Source organism: Homo sapiens, chromosome 4, assembly GCF_000001405.40.
Source record: "Homo sapiens chromosome 4, GRCh38.p14 Primary Assembly".
NCBI classification, from domain to species: Eukaryota; Metazoa; Chordata; class Mammalia; order Primates; family Hominidae; genus Homo; species Homo sapiens.
Window position 1 is genome coordinate 82,871,648 of NC_000004.12, and position 21,161 is coordinate 82,892,808.

Sequence of the window (21,161 nt, forward strand, 5' to 3'; positions counted from 1 at the left end):
TGCATGTAATCCCAGCTATAAAATTTTTATAAAACTATAAAAATTTCCTGGCATGGTGGCTTGCGCCTGTAATCCCAGCTACTCAGGAGGCTGAGGCAGGAGAATCGTTTGAACCTGGGAGGCAGAGGTTGCAGTGAGCCAAGATCTTGCCACTGCACTCCAGCCTAAGTGACAGAGCAAAACTCCATCTAAAAAAAAAAGTTCCTGTGTCCTATGGTGTATTTCTGGTCACGAAAACATCACCGACATGTTCAGAAAATAAACAAATCAAGTTCTTTGTAACAGCAGCACGATACCTGGCATGGTTTTCCAGGACACGAAGTGGAGAGGAAGCAAATCGAAGATCCCACATCTGGATCACTGGTAACCGGTCATCCTCGGAGGCAAGGACCATCTGAGTAGCAACATCAGGATGCCATGCCAACCCAGAACAATGCATCTGAAGATAGTTAAGGTTCACATTTTATGAATCAAATTACTTTATGAAAAGCCAAACTACAACGAGAAATATACCTTTATTGAAACAAATAGTGAAAAACATCAGCTGTGGCTTATTTTATTTATGATCTATTTATTGTCAGCCAGGCTGGAGTGCAGTAGCGCCATCTCAGCTCACTGCAACCTCCACCTCCCCCAGGTTCAAGTGATCCTCCTGCCTCAGCCTCCTGAGTAGCTGGGATTACAGGCGCAAGCCACCATGCCAGCAAACTTTTGTATTTTTAGTAGATATGAGGTTTTACCATGTTGGCCAGGCTGGTCTTGAACTCCTGACCTCAAATGATCCACCCACCTCGGCCTCCTAAAGTGCTGGTATTACAGGCATGAGCCACCGCGCCTGGCCTTAGTTTATTTTAAACAACAAAACAAAAACAAATGTAAAACTACTAAATTTTATTGAACAGTCTTAAACAGTAGTCTTAAAAGTAAGATATTTGAATATTTTCTCAATTCATGCAGCTATTTGATACACACAAAACCATTCTGAGTCAGAATAACTGTATACCAAAAATGAGTTTTACTATCAAAACTATATAAGTTTAGAGAAAACATTTCATTGTATTTATTTATTTTTTTGAGATGGAGTCTCGCTCTGTCACCCAGGCTGGAGTGCAGTGTGGCACGATCTCAGCTCACTGCCACCTCCGCCTCCCAGGTTCAAGCGATTCTCCCGCTTCAGCTTCCCAATAGCTGGGAGTACAGGCACACACCACCATGCCTGGCTAATTTTTTGTATTTTAGTAGAGAAGGGGTTTCACCATGTTGCCCAGGATGGTCTTGAACTACTGAGCTCAGGCAATTCGCCCACCTCGGCCTCCCAAAGTGTTAGGATTGAGCTACTGCGCCCGGCCAGTAGAGAAAACATTTTATGCACATTTAAAATACTTTCAGAAAAACGAAAAACAAAAAACAGATAAAAGATTAACACATACAGGCTGGGCGTGGTGGCTCACTCCTGTAATCCCAGCACTTTGGGAGGCCAAGGCGGGTGGATCATGAGGTCAGGAGTTTGAGACCAGTCTGGCCAACATGGTAAAACCCATCTCTACTAAAAATACAAAAATTCGCCAGGTATGGTGGCGGACGCCTGTAATCCCAGCTACTTAGGAGGCTGAGGCAGGAGAATTGCCTGAACCCAGGAGGCGGAGGTTGCAGTGCCATGATTGCGCCCCTACACTCCAGACTGGGTGACAGAGTGAGAGTCCCTCTCAAAAAAAAAAAAACCCTTAAAAAAATTAACACACACACAAGACACAAAAAAACCCCATACTTTTCCTCTATTTTATCAGAAAAATCAAGGCAAAATATCTGAAGCAAAAACTACCATTTAAATTTTCATATGGAATAAATTAACATTATTAGGAACTATCTGCAAGTTCAAATTCTATTAAATATTCCACAAAATGACTAAAATGCTTCTGGTATGGTTTATTCCATTGAAACTTCTGTTTTAAAACTCCTGATTCACTTGAAAACAATACTCTGAAGAAGTGTTCTCCCAAATAGTTTTTTGTTGTTATTGTTGTTTTTAAACTACATATGTATGCCTGACTTTTGGCAAACTTATTTTAGAAAATGTCAAACTATCCAATGTACTCATAAACAAACAAACAAAAAAAGCTCCAAATTATATCTAAATTATTTTATGGCATCTAATGACATAAAAAAATAAAGATACCTAAAAGGTTCAGAATTTAATGTGCTCTATGGGTAAGTGCCGAAAATATATTAGCTCATTTTAGCAGTACCTAATCAGAGGAAGAGATGAGGCCAAGAAGTCAAATATTACAAGTTCACAGTGATGAAGCTTCCAGCAGGAAAAATTTTTACATTCTAAGAAAAGTTAAAGATGAATTAAAAAGTTGCTGCAATGGCCGGGCACAGAAGCTCATGCCTGTAATCCCAGCACTTTGGGAGGCCGAGGCAGGCAGATCACGAGGTCAGGAGTTTGAGACCAGCCAGACCAACATGGTGAAACCCCATCTCTACCAAAAATACAAAAATTAGCCGGGCTTGATGGTGCATGCCTGTAATCTCAGCTACTCGGAAGGCTGGGGCAGGAGAAGTGCTTGAACCCAGGAGGCAGAGGTTGCAGTGAGCCGAGATCACGCCACTGTACTCCAGCCTGGGCGACAAAGCGAGACTCCGTCTCAAGAAAAAAAAAAAAAAAGTTGCTGCAATGTTTTAAAACAGCTAGCAAAGCAAAACCACCAGTATATCATGGAATAAGTTCCTTGATTAACCAATCTCTCTTCATCATTAATAATATCCAACATATTTATTGGGAATTTTATGATTTTCCCTTAGAGGAAAAAAAACAAAACATTCCTTCTAACATGACTGATTAATAAAAAAACAGGATTTGACTTCACAGAAATTTGATTTGTTGTCAACTCTGACAAACAATATAGGAATACCTACAGCAGAAATACAACATGTTCATCACAAGTCAATCACATACTTACTCTGTTACTATGGTCACTGACTTTGATGATTGGCTCATTTTTTCTAAGATCCCATACAGTGGCCCGGCCACTGGGACTGGCTGATGCTAAAATATGCTGAACTTGTCTGTTCCATGCAATGCAGCTGATATCTTCTGGCGGCTACAAGGAAGAAACAGTTAATAAAAACTGCTTGTTTCTCTATTATAATCAAATTTAACTGTAAAATTGGATCCTTCATTTTGAAAAGTGTATTACTTAAAAATCTGATCCATTTATGCCACAAATTTGCTTTATAGTCCTACATCTCTACATTCTCAACACATAAAATTATATGACTTAAAATGCAGGTACATACCACTTCAAGTGTATTATCTTGTTTCATAATATCTCATTCAACAAGAATTTTATTGAATTTCTGCTATAAACCAAGTACTGTTTCTTTACTTTGCAACTGCTGCAAGGTAGATTATGGACCACAAAGTAGATGTTGGTGACTATGACAGAAAACTAGGCAGGGCAAAATTACAGCCTAGACCATTAGCAAAATACCTTTATAAATGGTAGTGCATATGCTGTCATTATGCTACCTCTCAGATTGCCAAAATGTTAGAGCCAGTTACAATGGCTACTCAAGTTGGATAGCCTATACAACATAAAGAAACTCAGGGAAGAACAGGAGAAGACTGTTGTTACCAAACTTAATAGAAATACACAAGCAAAGGGCTTGAGGTATTTATTTTAAACCTTGTCTTCCATGGTCTTGTCTAAGTGTGTTTTAAGAAGGTTGGTTGTTGCCAAAACACAGAGCAACTATCACACAAAGAACAAAAATAATTATACTATATCTAAGACAATTATTAAGGATTTTTGTTCATTTTGTTTACTACTGTATGCCTAGTACAATGACCAGTGTCTACCAGGTGGTAGGTACTAAATAAATATTTACTCTTGATGGACTCACTGATACTTTGAAGAAACATATTTATTAATTACTGAAGAAAAATCAGTAATATCTAAACAATGATTTTAAACATATATGTTTTGTGTGAGAAGCCTTAAAAGTGAAATAAGTAGGTTTAGGAGAACTACTTTTGGCTTTTTTGATTACAATGATCAAAATCAATATAAAAATACCTGTGTTTTGGCTCCTGGTGTCATTGGGGTTGCAAAATTATTTAGATCCCATATGTAGATTTCAGATTCATTAGCACCAGAAGCTACCAGATTAGTCTGCAAGAAGAAACCATAACTAAATAGCACTTATGAATAATTAAGAAAATTCAGAATAACTCAGTTCAGAGCTAGAAAGATATTAGATGTAGCATACACAATTTTTCTATTTAATTTGAAAAGTGAAAAACATATGCATGAATTTCTAAATTATGCATAATTCTTTCAAAATTTAAAGTTTTCTAGAAAAACATAAAATTCTACTTAACAAAGACAAAAGATGTCTACTGAGAACAAATTAATTTTAATGCAAGATATTATTTTAAAAATTATATGGATAAATTCTTTTTTTTTTTTTTTTTTTTGAGATGGAGTTTTGCTCTTGTTGCCCAGGCTGGAGTGCAATGGTGCAATCTCAGCTCACCACAACTTCCGCCTCCCGGGTCCAAGTGATTCTCCTGCCTCAGCCTCCCGAGTAGCTAGGATTACAGGCATGCACCACCACTCCCGGCTAATTCTGTATTTTTAGTAGAGACGGGGTTTCTCCATGTTGGTCAGGCTGGTCTCAAACTCCTGACCTCAGGTGATCCACCTGCCTCGGCCTCCCAAAGTGCTGGGATTACAGGCGTGAGCCACCAAACCTGGCTGGATAAATTCTTAATCAGTCATGCAACCATGTGAGGATTACTGTTTGTATCTTTGCATCTCTGGAAGGAGATTTAATTATAAGATTAAAAAGGTCATCAATTATTGCTTTCAGAAAAAGCTGAATCCTAAAACTGTGGCATCTTTCTCAGGATACCTCAAAGCCAGCTTCCAGAGCTGAATCAATACAGCACTAGTAAAATCTCTTGTCATAACTCTTCACATATTTCTAGTTCATATACACTCAATCTTATTCCAGGTGGCAATATTTCTAGGTTTTCTCTGGTACATACCTTAAGGGTCAAAAAGAACCTGAAATTGTAATATAAAGTACAGGAAGATAATGGGCTTCATATACTGACCTTCATCCACTACTATTTACTCTTACAAATTATTCTCTATCAGTTGGCATATAACTAAAAAAAGGGAGACATTCTATGGTAGTAGCTACCTATAACACAAAATACTTTATTAAAAATCATCAGCTGTTCAATACAATTAACAAAGGAGTTAGCTAAAGAGCAGATACCACAAACTATAGAAACGAAGGCTGGGCACAGTGGCTCATGCCTGTAGTCACAGCACTTTGGGAGGCTGAGGCAGACAGACCACTTGAGCCCAGGAGTTTGGGACCAGCTTGACCAACACGAAAAAACCCTGTCTCTACAAAAATTAGCCAGGTGTTGTGGCTCATGCCTGTAGTCCCAGCTACTCAGGTGGCTGAGACAGAAGACTTGCTTGAGCCCAGGAGGTCAAGACTGCAGTGAGTCATGAGCCACTGCAGTCCAGCCTGGCAGAGGGAGCAAGACGCTGTTTCAAAAAACAAAAAACAACAACAAAAAAGAAATAAACAAGTTGGGTTTCTGTATTGCTATACCCTAAGTATCTATTTATAATATAAGAAAAGGAACTATTTAAAATTTTCTTAATACTCATTTTTGGTTGTTATAATCTAGTATCCTATTAACTCAAGGTCTTTTTTTTTTTTCCAGACAGGGTCTCTATGTGTCACCCAGGTTGCAGTGCAGTGGTGTGATCATAGCTCACTGCAGCGTAGACCTCCCAGGCTAAAGCCATCAACCTACCTCAGCCTCCCGTGTAGCTGAGACTACAGGCGTGTGCCACCATGTTCTGCTAATTGTTTGCATTTTTTGTAATGACAGGGTTTCACCATCCTGTTCAGGCTAAGATCGTTATTAAGCTGTGCATTTATATAATTAACAACCAGAAATGTTTATGAAGGCAACAGTACAAAGAATCTTAATTGACTATTTGTTAAATCTGCATTACATTTCTTTTTTCTTTTTTTGAGTTTTGCTCGTTGCCCAGGCTGGAGTGCAATGGCACGATCTCAACTCACTGCGATCTCCGCCTCCCGGGTTCAAGCGATTCTCCTGCCTCAGACTCCCGAATAGCTGGGATTACAGGTGCCTGCCACCATGCCCGGCTAATTTTTGTATTTTTAGTAGAGACGGGGTTTCACCACGTTGGCCAGGCTGGTCTCGAACTCCTGACCTCATGATCTGTCTGCCTCGGCCTCTCAAAGTGCTGGGATTACACAGGTGTGAGCCACATGCCCAGCCATTACATTTAATTTCTAATTATTTCATAGAGTATTAATCTCTGTCATAAACATAAAATTTCTCAATTAATAAAACAGTGAATTAACCTGGACATCACAGCACCAGCCTAATGCTGACCTAGCATGAACTTTTAAAAGGCAAGGTTTCCAACCTATAGGGATCTTAATGTTTATAAAATGTCTAATCAAATGGCGTGACATCTTCAGACTTAAACCTATTAGCCAGCTGGGCACAGTGGCTCACGTCTGTAATCCCAGCACTTTGGGAGGCCGAGGCGGGCGGATCACAAGGTCAAGAGATCGAGACCATTCTGGCCAACATGGTGAAACCCCATCTCTACTAAAAGTACAAAAATTAGCTGGGCGTGGTGGCAGGCGCCTGTAATCCCAGCTACTCGGGAGGCTGAGGCAGGAGAATCACTTGAACCCAGGAGGCAGAGGTTGCAGTGAGCCAAGATCATGCCACTGCACTCCAGCCTGGTGACAGAGCGAGACTCCGTCTCAAAAAAACAAAAACAAAAACAAAAACAAAAACCTATCAGCCGGATCCTTTTCATGGAGGTAGTATTTTTAACCCTGATCTCAACTCTGAACCCACCATTCTTTAAACAAACACTCGTCAACCTGTATAGCCACAGTTTTTTAACTTTCAATTCCAAAACTGAGGCATAGTAGATTCATATACTGATTTCAAATGAGCAGCACATAGTCTAAGAATTATGAAATGTTAAAGTCTTAACCTGGAAAATGTTCACATCCAAGGCTCTCACTGGGCCAGTATGCTTGTCATTCTGGGCAATCACAACTTCCTTGTCTCCAGCTATAATTTTAGAAGGATCATAGAGAATAATATTTCCATTTTCACCACCTGCAATCAGAACTCCAGAGACATCTCCTTTGGAATCCATTTTATAAGGCCCCCAAATCAACTTGTGGTACCTACAGGAGAAAATGAATAAAATCATTCATTCTTAAAGTCAAATAAATGTAGACAAAAAATTGAAATTATACACTTAATTTTTAATGTTTTCATAAACAATCCAAATATATTACTTTCCCACCACTCCTGGTAACTATGTATGACTTTGGTGTAATAGTATTTCATTTTTTATTTATACTCATATTTGCATATGTGATTTTGTAATCCTTAAAGAGTAAAAACTCTTGTAAGGTAGTGTAACAAAATATACTTGAGTTGTGTGTCAAAAAATATGAGCTTAAGAATGATTTTACCATTTAGAAACTGTGAGACCCTAAGTTACTTAATCTTCTTAAATTGCCTCTGGTTCATTGTAAAATAGAGCTAATCAATCACTTCCCTCGAAAGGTAAAAACACTCTTTATTTGACTATAGAAGGGTCTCATGCTTTGACCTTTGTCTGAAAAAAAAAAAAAGGGGGGGTCACTAACAAGTGGTCTGTTAAATAGTAAAGGTGTTAAAGGAGTCATGTGAAATTTTCTAAGAAAAAGAATGTATTCTAATGGTAGAAAAATGACATCAAGATTATAACAAGTACCCCTACTATTAGAGAATAAAATATATGGTCCAGAATGGAGATGAAATATGAAGGCAGAAAGGTATACGATGATACAGATGGTAGTAAGCAGAAAAACTACTAGACAAAAGGTATCTGGGGTTCCCATCCCACTGTGACAGCTCTGAAGAATATGAGCGGTCCCATGAAACTGCATGATTTGAGCTATATTCTGTCAGCTAAAGAGCAATCTCTTTAAACCCTGCTAATATATTGAGGCAATAAAGCTTATTTTATTACTGAAATGAAGACCTCCTTTCTCTGCATTACAATAGGGCATAAGTACTTGAAAGTATGATCCAAATACCTAGTTACCTAGTGTATTAGAAATCGTGTCAACAAAACTGTGAGATATATTTCTAAATATCGTAACAGAAGAAAATAAAAATAAGCTACCATTCAGAGATAATCACTATTAATACTTACGATGACTACTCCTTTTCTAGTCACATCTACCTTTTTGTAAACAGGCACAATAAAGGAGATAGAAAAAAGAACTCTATACAAAATTAGCCAGGCATGGTGGCACATGCCTGTAATCCCAGCTACTCGGGAGGCTGAGGCAGGAGAATTGCTAGAACCTAGGAGGCAGAGGTTGTGGTGAGCCGAGATTGCGCCATTGCACTCCAGCCTGGGCAACAAGAGTGAAACTCCATCTCAAAAAAAAAACAAAAACAAAAAAAACCACACACACACCAAAAAAACAGAAAAAAATGCTAGAAACTACAGCCTCTCCTTCCTACCTTACATGTAACAGCAATAAAAAAGCCAACAGAACATACTGGCCAAGCGTGATTCCTCATGCCTATAATCTCAGCACTTTGGGAGGCTAAGGTGGGTGGATTGCTTGAGGTCAAGAGTTCAAAACCAGCCTGGCCAACATGGCAAAACCCTGTCGCTACTAAAGACACAAAATTAGCTGGGCAAGGTGGTGTGCACCTGTAATCCCAGCTACTCGGGAGGCTGAGGCACAAGAATTGCTTGAGCCTGGAAGGTGGAGGTTGCAGTGAGCCGAGATCGTGCCACTGCACTCCAGCCTGAGCTATGAAGTAAGATTCTGTCTCAAAAAAAAAAAAGAAAAAAAAAAGTCAATAGAACACATAAACACTACTTTTACTTCCATAAAAATTCACTCACATGCTTTTTCACAAAATATTTCATGTTCTTGATGGTATTCCTTGTAGTTTCTAATAATGGCATAATTATAGACAAATTAGGAATCAAGAACAATATATAATTAAATAATCACATGAATTTAAAGCTGAACCTCATACCTGTGAGAAGAGGAGAATGTGGCACAAGATTTCATATCCAAGGATGGATCAGAGAGGTCTAATTCAAATATCTCAAGGGAAGCATTCGTACTAAATGTTGCATCCAATTGCTGAGCAGATGTTCCTATAGAAAATATATTTATGGTAACTATACACACAAAAATAAAAGATCAGAGAAACCATACAAAACAGAAGTTAAAAGCATGTTTTCCATTCTCTTGCTCATGAATGCTGCACATATGCCATTGAGCAGATGCTTAAATTACTATAGCAATGAGATTCTGGCACAGGGCTAGGAGAGGATGTTTATAAGAGTGGGTAGTGTAAATAATTTTTTAAGCCTGTATATATTTAAAAATCTCTGTAAAAATGGTCCCGTGATGGGGGCTGGGCACGGTGGCTCATGCCTGTAATCCCAGCACTTTGGGAGGCCGAGATGGGTGGATCATGAGGTCAGGAGATCAAGACCATCCTGGCTAACATGGTGAAATCCCATCTCTACTAAAAATACAAAAAATTAGCCAGGCATGGTGGTGGACGCCTGTAGTCCCAGCTACTTGGGAGGCTGAGGCAGGAGAATGGAAGGAACCAGGGAGGTGGAGCTTGCAGTGAGCAGAGATCACGCCACTGCATTCCAGGCTGGGCGAAAGAGCAAGACTCCATCTCAAAAAAAAAAAAGTCCCGTGATTTACTATATCTGCTTATAGACATATATGATATAACTATTTCTTTTTATATAAAAATGCTAACATCAAAATTGCTCTTCATTCATTCAAACTGATATTAACTGTTTTTTTTACATGCCATCTATTGTGCTTAATACTGGAGGAATAAAGATAAAATACAATTCCTGTGAAGGAAAATATTTTAGATGTAACACATCATGATCAAAATGCTATGGGAACACAGAGGAAGAACACTAAACTTGGCTGATAGAATGTCAGTAACTTGCCAGGGAGAGAGAGGCTTTCTAGAGAAGATAAAGCTTAAACTGAATAAGCTAGGTGCAGAAGAGAAGAAATTAGGTAACTCATACTATCTTCTCTCCTTTGAACTTACCTGTTGCTAGGTAAATGGGGTGATTCTGGGCAGGGCTCCATGCCTGCATGGCTGTACGATCTACTTCCTTTAACTTCATCCTGCTAAAGGGAATATTTTATACAGAAACAGCCTTGAATGACTTGAATGTCTAACACAGAACACAGATATTTTAAATAGAAACATACTGAACAAACCACTACAACATTAGTAATGCCCAACTGCAAATAAATCAAATCGGTTTAGGTGTCATTTGTTGGATATATTCATTAGAAAGAAGACAAACTTGAGGCCGGGTGGCTCATGCCTGTAATCCCAGCACTTTGGGAGGCCAAGGCGGGCGGATCACGAGGTCAGGAGATTGAGACCATCCTGGCTAACATGGTGAGACCCCATCTCTACTAAAAATACAAAAAATTAGCCGGGCGTGGTGGCGGGCACCTGTAGTCCCAGCTACTCAGGAGGCTGAGGCAGGAGAATGGCATGACCCGGAAGACAGAGCTTGCAGTGAGTTGAGATTGCACCACTGCATGCCAACCTGGGCGAGAGAGCAAGACTCTATCTCAAAAAAAAAAAAAAAAAAAAAAAAAAAAAAAGACAAACTTGATAAACCATTTTGAGACAAATACTGGGCTATTCTGTTTACAGATTATAGTTCTTCAGTTGAATCAGTCTAGAAAAATAGCCCACAAAAATAATAAGGTAGTACCTGAAGAATTAACTTTGCTACACATGTGTTTATCCAACTAGGATGGATGACAAAACATTACGGGTAAGAGCAGCCAAAAAATAAATAAGGTGCAACTTCCTGGAGTAGGATTACTCAATGATAAGAGCAGTTTAAAAAATTAATTCAAAGTTACAACATATTAGAGAGAATATAGTAAGCCCACAGATTTTAAAGATAAAGTAGAAATTATTAGAAAACTGGTCACTTCAAGGTATAATCCCATATACCACTTGTTTACGTATTTTCTGTCATTAAAGTTACTTTGATGGAGTCAGGCATGGTGGCTCATGCTTGCAATCGCAGCACTTTGGGAGGACGAGGCAGTTGGATCACTTGAGGCCAGGAGTTCGAGACCAGCCTCGCCAACATGGCAAAACCCCGTCTCTATTAAAAATACAAGAAAATTAGCCAGGTGTGGTGGTGCATGCCTGTAATCCCAGCTATTTGGGAGGCTGAAGCAGAAGAATCACTTGAACCCAGGTGGTGAAGGTTACATTGAGCCGAGATCATGCCACTGCACTCCAGCCTGGGCAACAGAGCGAGACTCGGTCTCAAAAAAAAAGTTACTTTGATGGAAAAATTACAACGGTATAGTATTATGTACTTTTTAAAGATCTTTGTTATTTTTACATAAATATATTGAAATGGCATAGTACTGCACTATAAGATGTACCATAATTACCTAGTCTAATACCAACAAACACCTAAGCTGTTTTTAGCTATTTTTACAAAAAAGTGCTGAAATAAATGGTCATCTGCACGTTATTTCATTAAAAAGGGACAGCTATAAATTTCCAGAAGTAAAATTGCTAAGTTAAAAGGTTAATGCAATTTTAATTTTGATGAATATTACCAAGTTGTCCTCTATGGCAATTGTGCCTTTTCATACCACCAACAGTAATATACGATTACTTATTGCCCTACAGCCTTATCAGAGCATACTGTCACACTTTTAGATCATACCAACACTAAAAAATGAAAGGCCAGGTGCAGTGGCTCAGGCCTGTAAGCCCAGCACTTTAGGAGCCGAAGCAAGTGGATTGCTTGAGCCCAGGAGTTCAAGATCAGCTTGGACAACATGGTGAAATCCCATCTCTAGAAAAAATACAAAAATTAGCTGGGCATGGTGGTGCACGCCTGTAGTCCCAGCTACTCGGGAGGTTGAGGAGGAAGGATTGTTTGAGCCCGGGAAGTTGAGGCTGCAGTGAGCCGTGATTGCGCCACTGCAATCCAGCCTGGGCGACAGAGTGAGACCATGACTCAAAAAAAAAAAAGAGAAAAATAAAAATGTTAGCTCTGTATAGTAATACTATAAATGATGTATAACATCTTTTTTTTGTATGACTATGGGTAAACATATTTCCTTTTCTGTCATCTCTTCTGTCTAGTCATGTATTATTTGACCATTTTTCTTTTCTATTCTTTTTTTTTTTTTTTTGGAGATGGAGTTTCGTTCTGTCACCCAGGCTGGAGCACAGTGGGGCGATCTCGGCTCACTGCAACGTCTGCCTCCGGGTTCAAGCGATTCTGGTGTCTCAGCCTCCCAAGTAACTGGGATTACAGGCACACACCACCACATCAGGCTAATTTTTTTGTATTTTTAGTAGAGACGGGGTTTCACCATGTTGGCCAGGCTGGCCTCGAACTCCTGACCTCAGGTGATCCACCTTCCTCAGCCTCCCAAAGTGCTGGGATTACAGGGGTGAGCCACTGCGCCCGGCCATCATTCGACAATTTTTCTATTAAGTTGATAGACTATCTTTTGACTTTGCTTTTTTCAAAAAAAAAATTTCTTTTCACCTTTCATAGGATTTTGATTAAAAATAAAAAAAGCTATATGCTTTATCTTTTAGAGTTTTACGTTCCTAGAAAAGTTGAGCCACAAAGTACAAAAAATTGCTACACATTTCCCAACCACATAACCTTTCTCACCACCAACATCGCACATCATAAAGGTCTATTTGTTTCGATCCATAAACTAACATGAACACATCATTATCACTGAAACTCCACAATTTATATGAGGGCTCACTCTAGGTGTTGTATATTCTATGGGTTTTGACAAATGTATAACAACATGTATCTGTCATTATAGTATCACACAGAGTAGTTCCCTTGTCCTAAAATCCCCTATGCCTATAATTCCTCCTTTCCTTTCAATAGAGCCTATATAGTGAATTTTTGTGAATTGTTCTTGGGACCTAGAAAGAAGGGGTGCTCTCTGTTTTCAGGGCCTAGAGCTCAATATATATTAACTAAGTCCTCTTTATTGATTTGTTTAGATCTCCTATATCCTTACTTTTTTGTCCACTTGATCTGCCTTGGACCGAAACAGTGAATTAAGTCTCTTACTGCTAATATATTTATGTCAATTTCTCATGGTATCTCCTGAAACTTTTGCTTTATGAAAATTACTTTGTTATTTAATAGTTATTTGGTGCATATCCATAATGTTCAAATTCACTGTCAAATATACACTTTAGCTTTATGAATATCCTTCTTTGTCTCAAATAATGACTTTTGGTCTGAATTCCACCTCTTGTTTGCCTTTACATGTATACTTTTGCCCTTCAGAACTACTTTGTCATCATTACAAACAAAATAACAAACAAAAAACCAACAGATTTTACTGGTGATCCAATTTGAAAATCTTTTCACAGTAGGTTAGCTAAGGACATTTAAAATGTATTGACATGACAGACATGGTTGGTCTTAGTTTTACCATATTTTACTTTGGTTTAATATCTTTGGGTAATAATTTTTAAAAAGTCTTTCATTGTCTGTTTTCTTTTTTGTGCAATTACCATTTTTCTGATAATTAGGATGATGTATATTTTCATTATAATATGTGTTTCTGATTCTATCTTTTTAACTGTAATTTTAAATATTTTACTTAATACCATTAATCCTCTATTTCTTTACACAGAAACTATTAACTCCCTACTATGAGCACTTATGAAATTAGCTTGTATAATCTTACTGCCCATCCACACAACATGGTTATAGTCAATAGTATTATCTTTCTCAGTGTTTACCTTTGAACTCCTTATACTTCTACTAACTGATCTGTCAGCTTTAAATGATGTCCTTTGACTCATAGCCATTACAGATGTGGCAATTCACAAACTTATTCTACCTCCAATTTCTTTCCTCTTCTCTTTTTATTAGTTGTATAATCAATCCCTTACATTATTGGACATTTAACATTTACATTTTATTCTTTCTTCCTCATTCTCACTTTTGTTCCAGTCTCAGTCCTGCAGTTAAAATGCATACTCAATGCTCTCCAAGAGTATTTTTGCCAGTTTCCTTACTCAGCTCCAGAGTTTATCCTCTAACATTTTCCTTAAGATTGCCTTAAACATATGCTCCGAGTCTTGTACCTGCAAATTGTTTATATTTGAAGGAGATTTTATAGAGGAAAAAATTAAGACACAGAAAGTTAGACAATCTGTACATGCTAGCAAGGGGGCAAGGGGCAGAGCCAAGATTGGAACTTGCAAGTTTAGCTCCAGAGTTCTTTCTACTTCCAACAAGTTCAGGTATTCAATTTTTATATCATAGAGGAAATATTAACATTTAGAAGAAACAATAACAAAGCAACCAGCATGCATGATGAAACTGAAGAAATGCATTTTAGAAATTGTGTTAGGTTAGAGCAAAGTGAGATTAGGAGGCAGGATGTATCACATGGTTAAAAGCATGGTCTCTGGAGTTAATCCTCAATTTAACTACTGGCTCTGTTACTTATTAGCTATGATACTTTGGACACATTATTTAACCTCCCTGAGCCCCAGTTTCTACATTCGTAAAATAGGGAAAAGAGTGACAACCTCATGGGATGCTGTGAGGTTCCAATGAGATCATACGTTTTATAATAGGGAGCCAAAAAAAGTGCTCAGCACATGGGTTAGTGCTTTTGATAGGTTTGCTATTTTTAAAGATTACCACTATCATGAGATTAAACAAGAAAACTTCAGGGTTATTTGGGGGGAAAAATTCCAACTTTCTAAGATATAAAAAAGGCATTTATTTTCTTACATGAATCTCCTCTTCTTCCTCTTTGCCAACTGTCTCACCTGATCTTTAATAATAAATTCAAGTTCCAGCTCCTCCATGAAAACTGCCCTGATGATTCAATCCACATTGATCTAAATACTCCCCGACAAGTTTGTACTTGTCAATACTATGATTTAAGCATTTTATAATAACGTCATTATATTTTAATAAACATTTTGTAACATTCTACTAGCACATATTGTTTACATATTTTCCAATTACCTTTTTTTAACCAGTTGCCTTATGTGCTATCTTATCTCACCAACTAGACAAATAACGTCTTTTTTCAAAACTTTTACCCCTTTTTAGACTCAAAATTGCTTAGCACAGAAGGAGATATACAGAAAGTTTTGATTTATTTTAAATGTTTATATTTAGGGGAAAACAAGTAGACTAATGAGCTAGAGTGACCAGTTTCAGATAAAACATTTACTTTTAAATTCTTAACTCTTTAAAGGATCATTTACTTTTTAAAAAAGGAGAAAGTATGGTTAAGGGGGAAAAGGTTATAAGATGCCTTCAGAATAATTTCTAAAAGTGAAATCAAAATAGCTGTATTATTAAAAAAATGGAATACAATTATAGTATTTCTAAGACCTAAGTACAAGGACTACCTAATTCATTAATGCTTGGTTAATGTGTAACATTGACTGAAAAAGAAAGAGACACATTTATAAGAACATAAAATAGTTAAATGTGAATTCAAAGCATTTACTAAAGTTTATTTCTTAGCCTTAGTACTCAATGTTCTAAGAAAACATTGAGAAAAGAAAAGAAAAGAAAAGAAAAAAGAAAGGAAAAGAAAATTGTGTGGGCTTGTTCATACATGCCATCTCCAAGACAGTATCTATAGCACGGCAATTAAGAGCATGGGGTCTAGGGCAGACACCCTCAGTTTAAATTCCAGCTTCACTATGTCCACCTCTGACTTTAATCATGTCGCTTTATCCATGTATGTCCTGGCTCCTCTCTCATTAAAATAAGGAGAACAGTATCTATACTACAGGGTTGTTGTGAGAAATAAGTGGTATTACTCAGAGTGGTTAGAACAGTGCCTGGCATATATAAACAAATGCTCATAAATGACAGTTATTACAAACATCACTACTTAAAACGTCTACCACCACGAAACTTCAAAAATACATCTATTAGGCCGGGCGCGGTGGCTCACGCCTGTAATCCCAGCACTTTGGGAGGTCGAGGCGGGCGGATCACGAGGTCAGGAGATCGAGACCACGGTGAAACCCCGTCTCTACTAAAAATACAAAAAATTAGCCGGGCGCAGTGGCGGGCGCCTGTAGTCCCAGCTACTCGGGAGGCTGAGGCAGGAGAATGGCGTGAACCCGGGAGGCAGAGCTTGCAGTAAGCTGAGATCATGCGACTGCACTCCAGCCTGGGTGACAGAGCAAGACTCTGTCTCAAAACAAACAAACAAACAAACAAACAACAACAAAAAAAACATCTATTAGCCAGGCGCAGTGGCTCATGCCTGTAATCCCAGCACTTTGGGAGGCCGAGGTGGGCAGATCACTTGAGGCCGGAAGTTCGGGACCAGCCTGGCCAACATGGCGAAACCCCGTCTCCACTAAAAAATACAAAAACTAGCCGGGCGTGGTGGTGTGTACCTGTAATCCCAGCTACTCAGGAGGCCGAGGCAGAAGAATCGCTTGAACCCGGGAGGCAGAGGTTGCAGTAAGCCTGGGAGACAGAGCGAGACTCCGTCTCAAAAAAAAAAAAAAAAAAAAAAACACACAAAAAACATATATATATATACACACAGACACGGCCAGGCGCAGTGGCTCACACCTGTAATCCCAGCACTTTGGAAGGCCGAGGCGGGCGGATCACGAGGTCAAGACATCCAGATCATCCTGGCCAACCTGGTGAAACCCTGTCTCTACTAAAAATACAAAAATTAGCTGCGCGTGATGGCGCGGCCAGTAGTCCCCGCTACTCGGGAGACTGAGGGAGGAGAATCGCTTGAACCCAGGTGACGGAGTTTGCAGTGAGCCGAGATCGCGCCAATGTACTCCAGCCTGGGTGACAGAGCGAGGCTCTGCCTCAGAAAAAAATAAAAAAAAAAAAAAATTTCTTGAGGAAAATTTATATTCTAGACTAGAACTCTTTATTTTTCATGCAACTTTCTCTCAATAATTGCATTCAATTAGGTGGAAACTTTTTTATTTCTGCTCATTTTCAAAGTGTAAATTTTGTGAAGCAATACTAAAACCCACCAGCACTGTTCTTTGAAAAATACCAACCTTGCAATGCTATATACAGAGCTGATCCATAACTCAGAAAGCAAGTAAAAAGTTAAAGAGGTAATAGAATTGGAACTTGGATTCCCAAACCAGGTATACAATCCCTAGTTGGCACTGCTTTCAGTAAAAATCCATTTTCTGCAGGCAAAATATCTCAATATGGATAGAAACAATTGTTTAGAGGATTTATTTAGTATTTTCAATGTTCTAGGTTCATTTCACTCAACCCAAACCAAATCAAAGGAGAAAGCAACTGTGCACTGGTTACTGAACTAATTGGTGTCATACTAATCTTCAGTATAATAAAACTTTTTGAGCTGAAATTAACCTAATGACATTCCTAACAACAATGTAATCAATGTAAATCAATCTAGTAATATCCCCTTACAGGAGTTTTTAACTTGTAAACTTCATAATATTATGTATATAGAAAATCCTACATGTCACTTGAAAGCAGGAGCTTGAGTCCAGCCTGGGGAACGCAGTGAGACCCCCATCTCTATAAAAAATAAGATTAGTTGGGCGTGCGCCACGTGCATATTCCTAGCTACTTCTGAGGCTGAGGCGGGAGGATCTCTTGAGCCCAAAAGTTCAAGGTTATAGTGAGCTATGACTGCACCACTGCACTCCAATCTGGGCAACAAAGAGGGACCCTGTCTCAAAAAAAAAAAAAAAGTAAAAGAAAAAAAAAGAAAATCCTACATGTGTGTATATGTGCATTCTTCCAATGCTTTCATTAGATTCCCGTAAGACAGTGAAATCCCCCCAAAATTTTGAATCATTGCTCTTCACAGTTTACAAATTTATTTCTATTCCCATGTTATTGGTTTCAATAAAGAATTTGCTTATATAAAATTAAGCAATATCATTATAAATCCACCTCAAATTTCAAATTTCACAAATAACCGCGGACGTATTTAAGATAAAATCACTACAAAACTACAAAAACACTACGAGTTATCCAAAAGTTCTTAAGAGTCTACAAACCTCTCCCTGAGCTGTTAATTAAGGGATAGTGAGAAACAAGGAGCACAGAAGAACCACTAAAAAAGGAGAGTAGGCTGGGCGTGGTGGCTTATGCCTGTAACCCCAGCACTTCGGGAGGCCAACTCGGGCGGATCACTTGAGGTCAGGAGTGCCAGACCAGCCTGACCAACAGCGTGAAACCCCGTCTCTACTAAAAATACAAAAATTAGACAGGTGTGGTGGTGGGCGCCTGTAATCCCAGCTACTCAGGAGGCTGAGACGGAGGTTGCAGTGAGCTGAGATCGCGCCACTGCACTCCAGCCTGGGTGACAGAGCGAGACTCCGTCTCAAAAAAAAAAAAAAAAAAAAAAAAGGAGAGTAAGCTTTTGCCAACTCTTGAATAAACGGAGGTACAGAAAACGCAGGACGCTGTAACAAGAACACACCCTTATCGATTAAATACAGTTATAACTGCCCACAAAGACAACCAAATTTCAGTTTTCTATAGTTAGAAAAAATAAGTTAGGAGAAAGGATTTGTCACAGACTATCAGATCACTGCAACTTCAAATAGCCCTACGTAAAATTAATTCCTTAAGCGCAAGAAAAAATTTATAATGCCCACAAGTCCAGGCAATATTTTGGTTTATTTTACAACAGCCCCGTAATTTAACAACTTATTAGCAAAAACATGTAACACTTAATGAGACTGCCCTCAAAGTACAGGCTGCGCCTGGCTACCACCGTCCTTAAAATAATCCTAGTTAAATGACAGTAGACGTCAGTTCAAACCTATGAACCTTTAAATCTGGCAATAGTTCAAGTACAAAAAAAAATCCTAACCAAAGCCAAAGTAATCCTGAGATTTTTTTTCCTCTCCTCACCCTCGGGGACCGCACCTCTTTGTGCACAAGGGTCTGAAAGTCTCCTAATCTCAAACTCCAGTTACCAGCCCGGCTACTACTCCCCGGCAAGACACTGTCGCCAGCCTCGGGTGGCTTTTGCTCAGCAGTGGAGACGTCGGCGAATGCGGACGGGCGCGATCACTGGAGTCCAGATGCCAGGCGTTGTTCCGCCGGGCCCGAAACCAAGACTAGGGGCGCGCCGTCACCAGAGACCGGGCCTCAGGCTGGTGCGGGGCAGCGGAGACCCAGGCTGCGGTCCCAGTTTTGGCCTGGGCTCTACCTCAAAGCTTAAGGACCGGCGAAGAGGACAAAAAGCAACGGGCGGACGCACCTGGCGAGGACCTTCGGCAGCCGGATCCTGCGTTAGTGCAGCGCTCGTCGGACTCTCCCAGCATTCGCCGCCGCCCCTCCTCCCCGGCCAGGGCCACCTCCACGTTCCGTTCCAACGTGGCAGCCGCAGCCGCAGCCACGCCCTGCGCCCAACACTTCCGGGAGCGACATCTTTCCCCGCCCACCCGACGCACAGCCCGCCACGGCACTTCCGGGACCGGCGGTAGCCTGGGAGGCGGGGTACGGCTCCGCTGGTTGGTGGCGCTCTGCGGTCATCGCGCCCCGGCGATCGTAGAAACCCTTTTCTGAGGGGCGGCGCGCAGAATGTGGATGGGGTAGCCAGGACTAGTGGGTAAAGGACTAGTGCAGAGGGTGTCCCCGTCTGGCCGAATAACCGCCGTGGCCCGCAGGAACGCCACGTAGCACTAGTCCTGTGAGGCGTCGGCAGCCCCTGGCGACACTGCCCGCGCCAAACCAGGTGGAAAATCGGGCTGCAAGGGCTTTATTGTAATTTGTGACTGAGTTCTTAAAATTACCCACTTGATTGCACATTCTGGCGTTTTGAGAACTTATACAAAGTGAAACAATCTGGGCATTCCCAAAGGCTATTGTGGACAAAGAGGTATAGATGGGGTGTTATATTAATTCCAATTAGTACCGTTTCATACTTGTTACTATCCCATGGTATTGAGACCCGGTAGCACTCACCTTCTGCCACTGTTTCTCCACAACCTCAAATCTAATTAGATGCGTTGCCTAAGTGTACTTTTAGTTTAGGGAGGAATTATTTTACAGCAAGGTGAAGCCAAAGGAAAATCACTTGCTAAATTACCAGAAATTGGATTCAACCCAGATCTCCTAACTTCTAGACAAGTTCTTTTCTCATTACATCTAGCATTCAAAGCCAACTCTTGCACTTTGGGTAGCTAAAGCAGAAGGATCCTGCCCCTTGAACAGCAGCAGTGTTAACATTCCCACAGTCAGCTACATCTTCTGTAACATTCCATCTGAAGCTTGCAGCTTCATAAGACAGCTTAACATCAATTCACGCCAACTTCTGAAATAATGAACCCAACTTTTACTGGTAGTAATATATTCTCTTTCAGTCTTCTAATTACCATTTTCTTTCAACGCAGTAACTAAGGTTATCACTTTGGCCTGAATGCTAGTCAAACTGATTGGGATTTGTTTTTGATTAGTCTTCAATTCAAACAAGTAAATGCTCCATTTCAACCGCAAGCAGCTTTCTGTTCCTAGTGCAATTAAAACTGAAAGACGTTGAAGCAACTTTACCTTTTTACATTTATCAGACTTTTTCAATAGGCTTGTATTACAGCTTCATGCAGGTCTGGGTCTCAACCTATCTTTGCTTTGCTGTCACCACTTTCAAATCTAATCACATCCAATTTCACTTCCAGCATTATCACTTTTCTTTGCTGCTCTGTCCTTTGTTGACCAATTACCTCTTTTAATTATCCATTTTTATAAATGGTCACAAGTTTAATCTCTGGGGTCAAGGAGGCAACAGTACTATGCACTTTGTGCTCTGCTATCTGTGCATGAACTAAACAGATGATCAGTAACAAATCAACAAACTTTGAAAGCAAAGTAATGTAACTGGCGACTGATCATGATGCACATCTTTTTTTTGGGGGGGGGGGCACAATGATTTGTGGACTAAAGAGCTAGCAGCAAAATTTATGCAAGTTTTCTCAGTACTGT

The 21,161-nt window shown here is 39.6% G+C and overlaps 1 protein-coding gene across 57 annotated transcripts in view; it reads right to left on the reverse strand.

Annotated features, from left to right (window-relative positions):
* The window catches only part of SEC31A (SEC31 homolog A, COPII component), an 82,061-nt gene that overhangs the window by 53,139 nt on the left and 7,761 nt on the right, over positions 1–21,161 (reverse strand). For 23 of the 57 annotated variants that reach the window (NM_001300744.3, NM_001300745.3, NM_016211.5 and 20 more), the window contains exons 1-7: positions 19,441–19,506; positions 10,211–10,293; positions 9,152–9,275; positions 7,083–7,281; positions 4,080–4,175; positions 2,964–3,104; positions 297–439 (exon numbers count right to left, since the gene is read on the reverse strand). In NM_001300744.3, coding sequence (NP_001287673.1) covers positions 297–439; positions 2,964–3,104; positions 4,080–4,175; positions 7,083–7,281; positions 9,152–9,275; positions 10,211–10,289 — 782 coding nt within the window. In that variant the 5' untranslated portion in view covers positions 10,290–10,293; positions 19,441–19,506. 57 annotated transcript variants of the gene reach the window in all.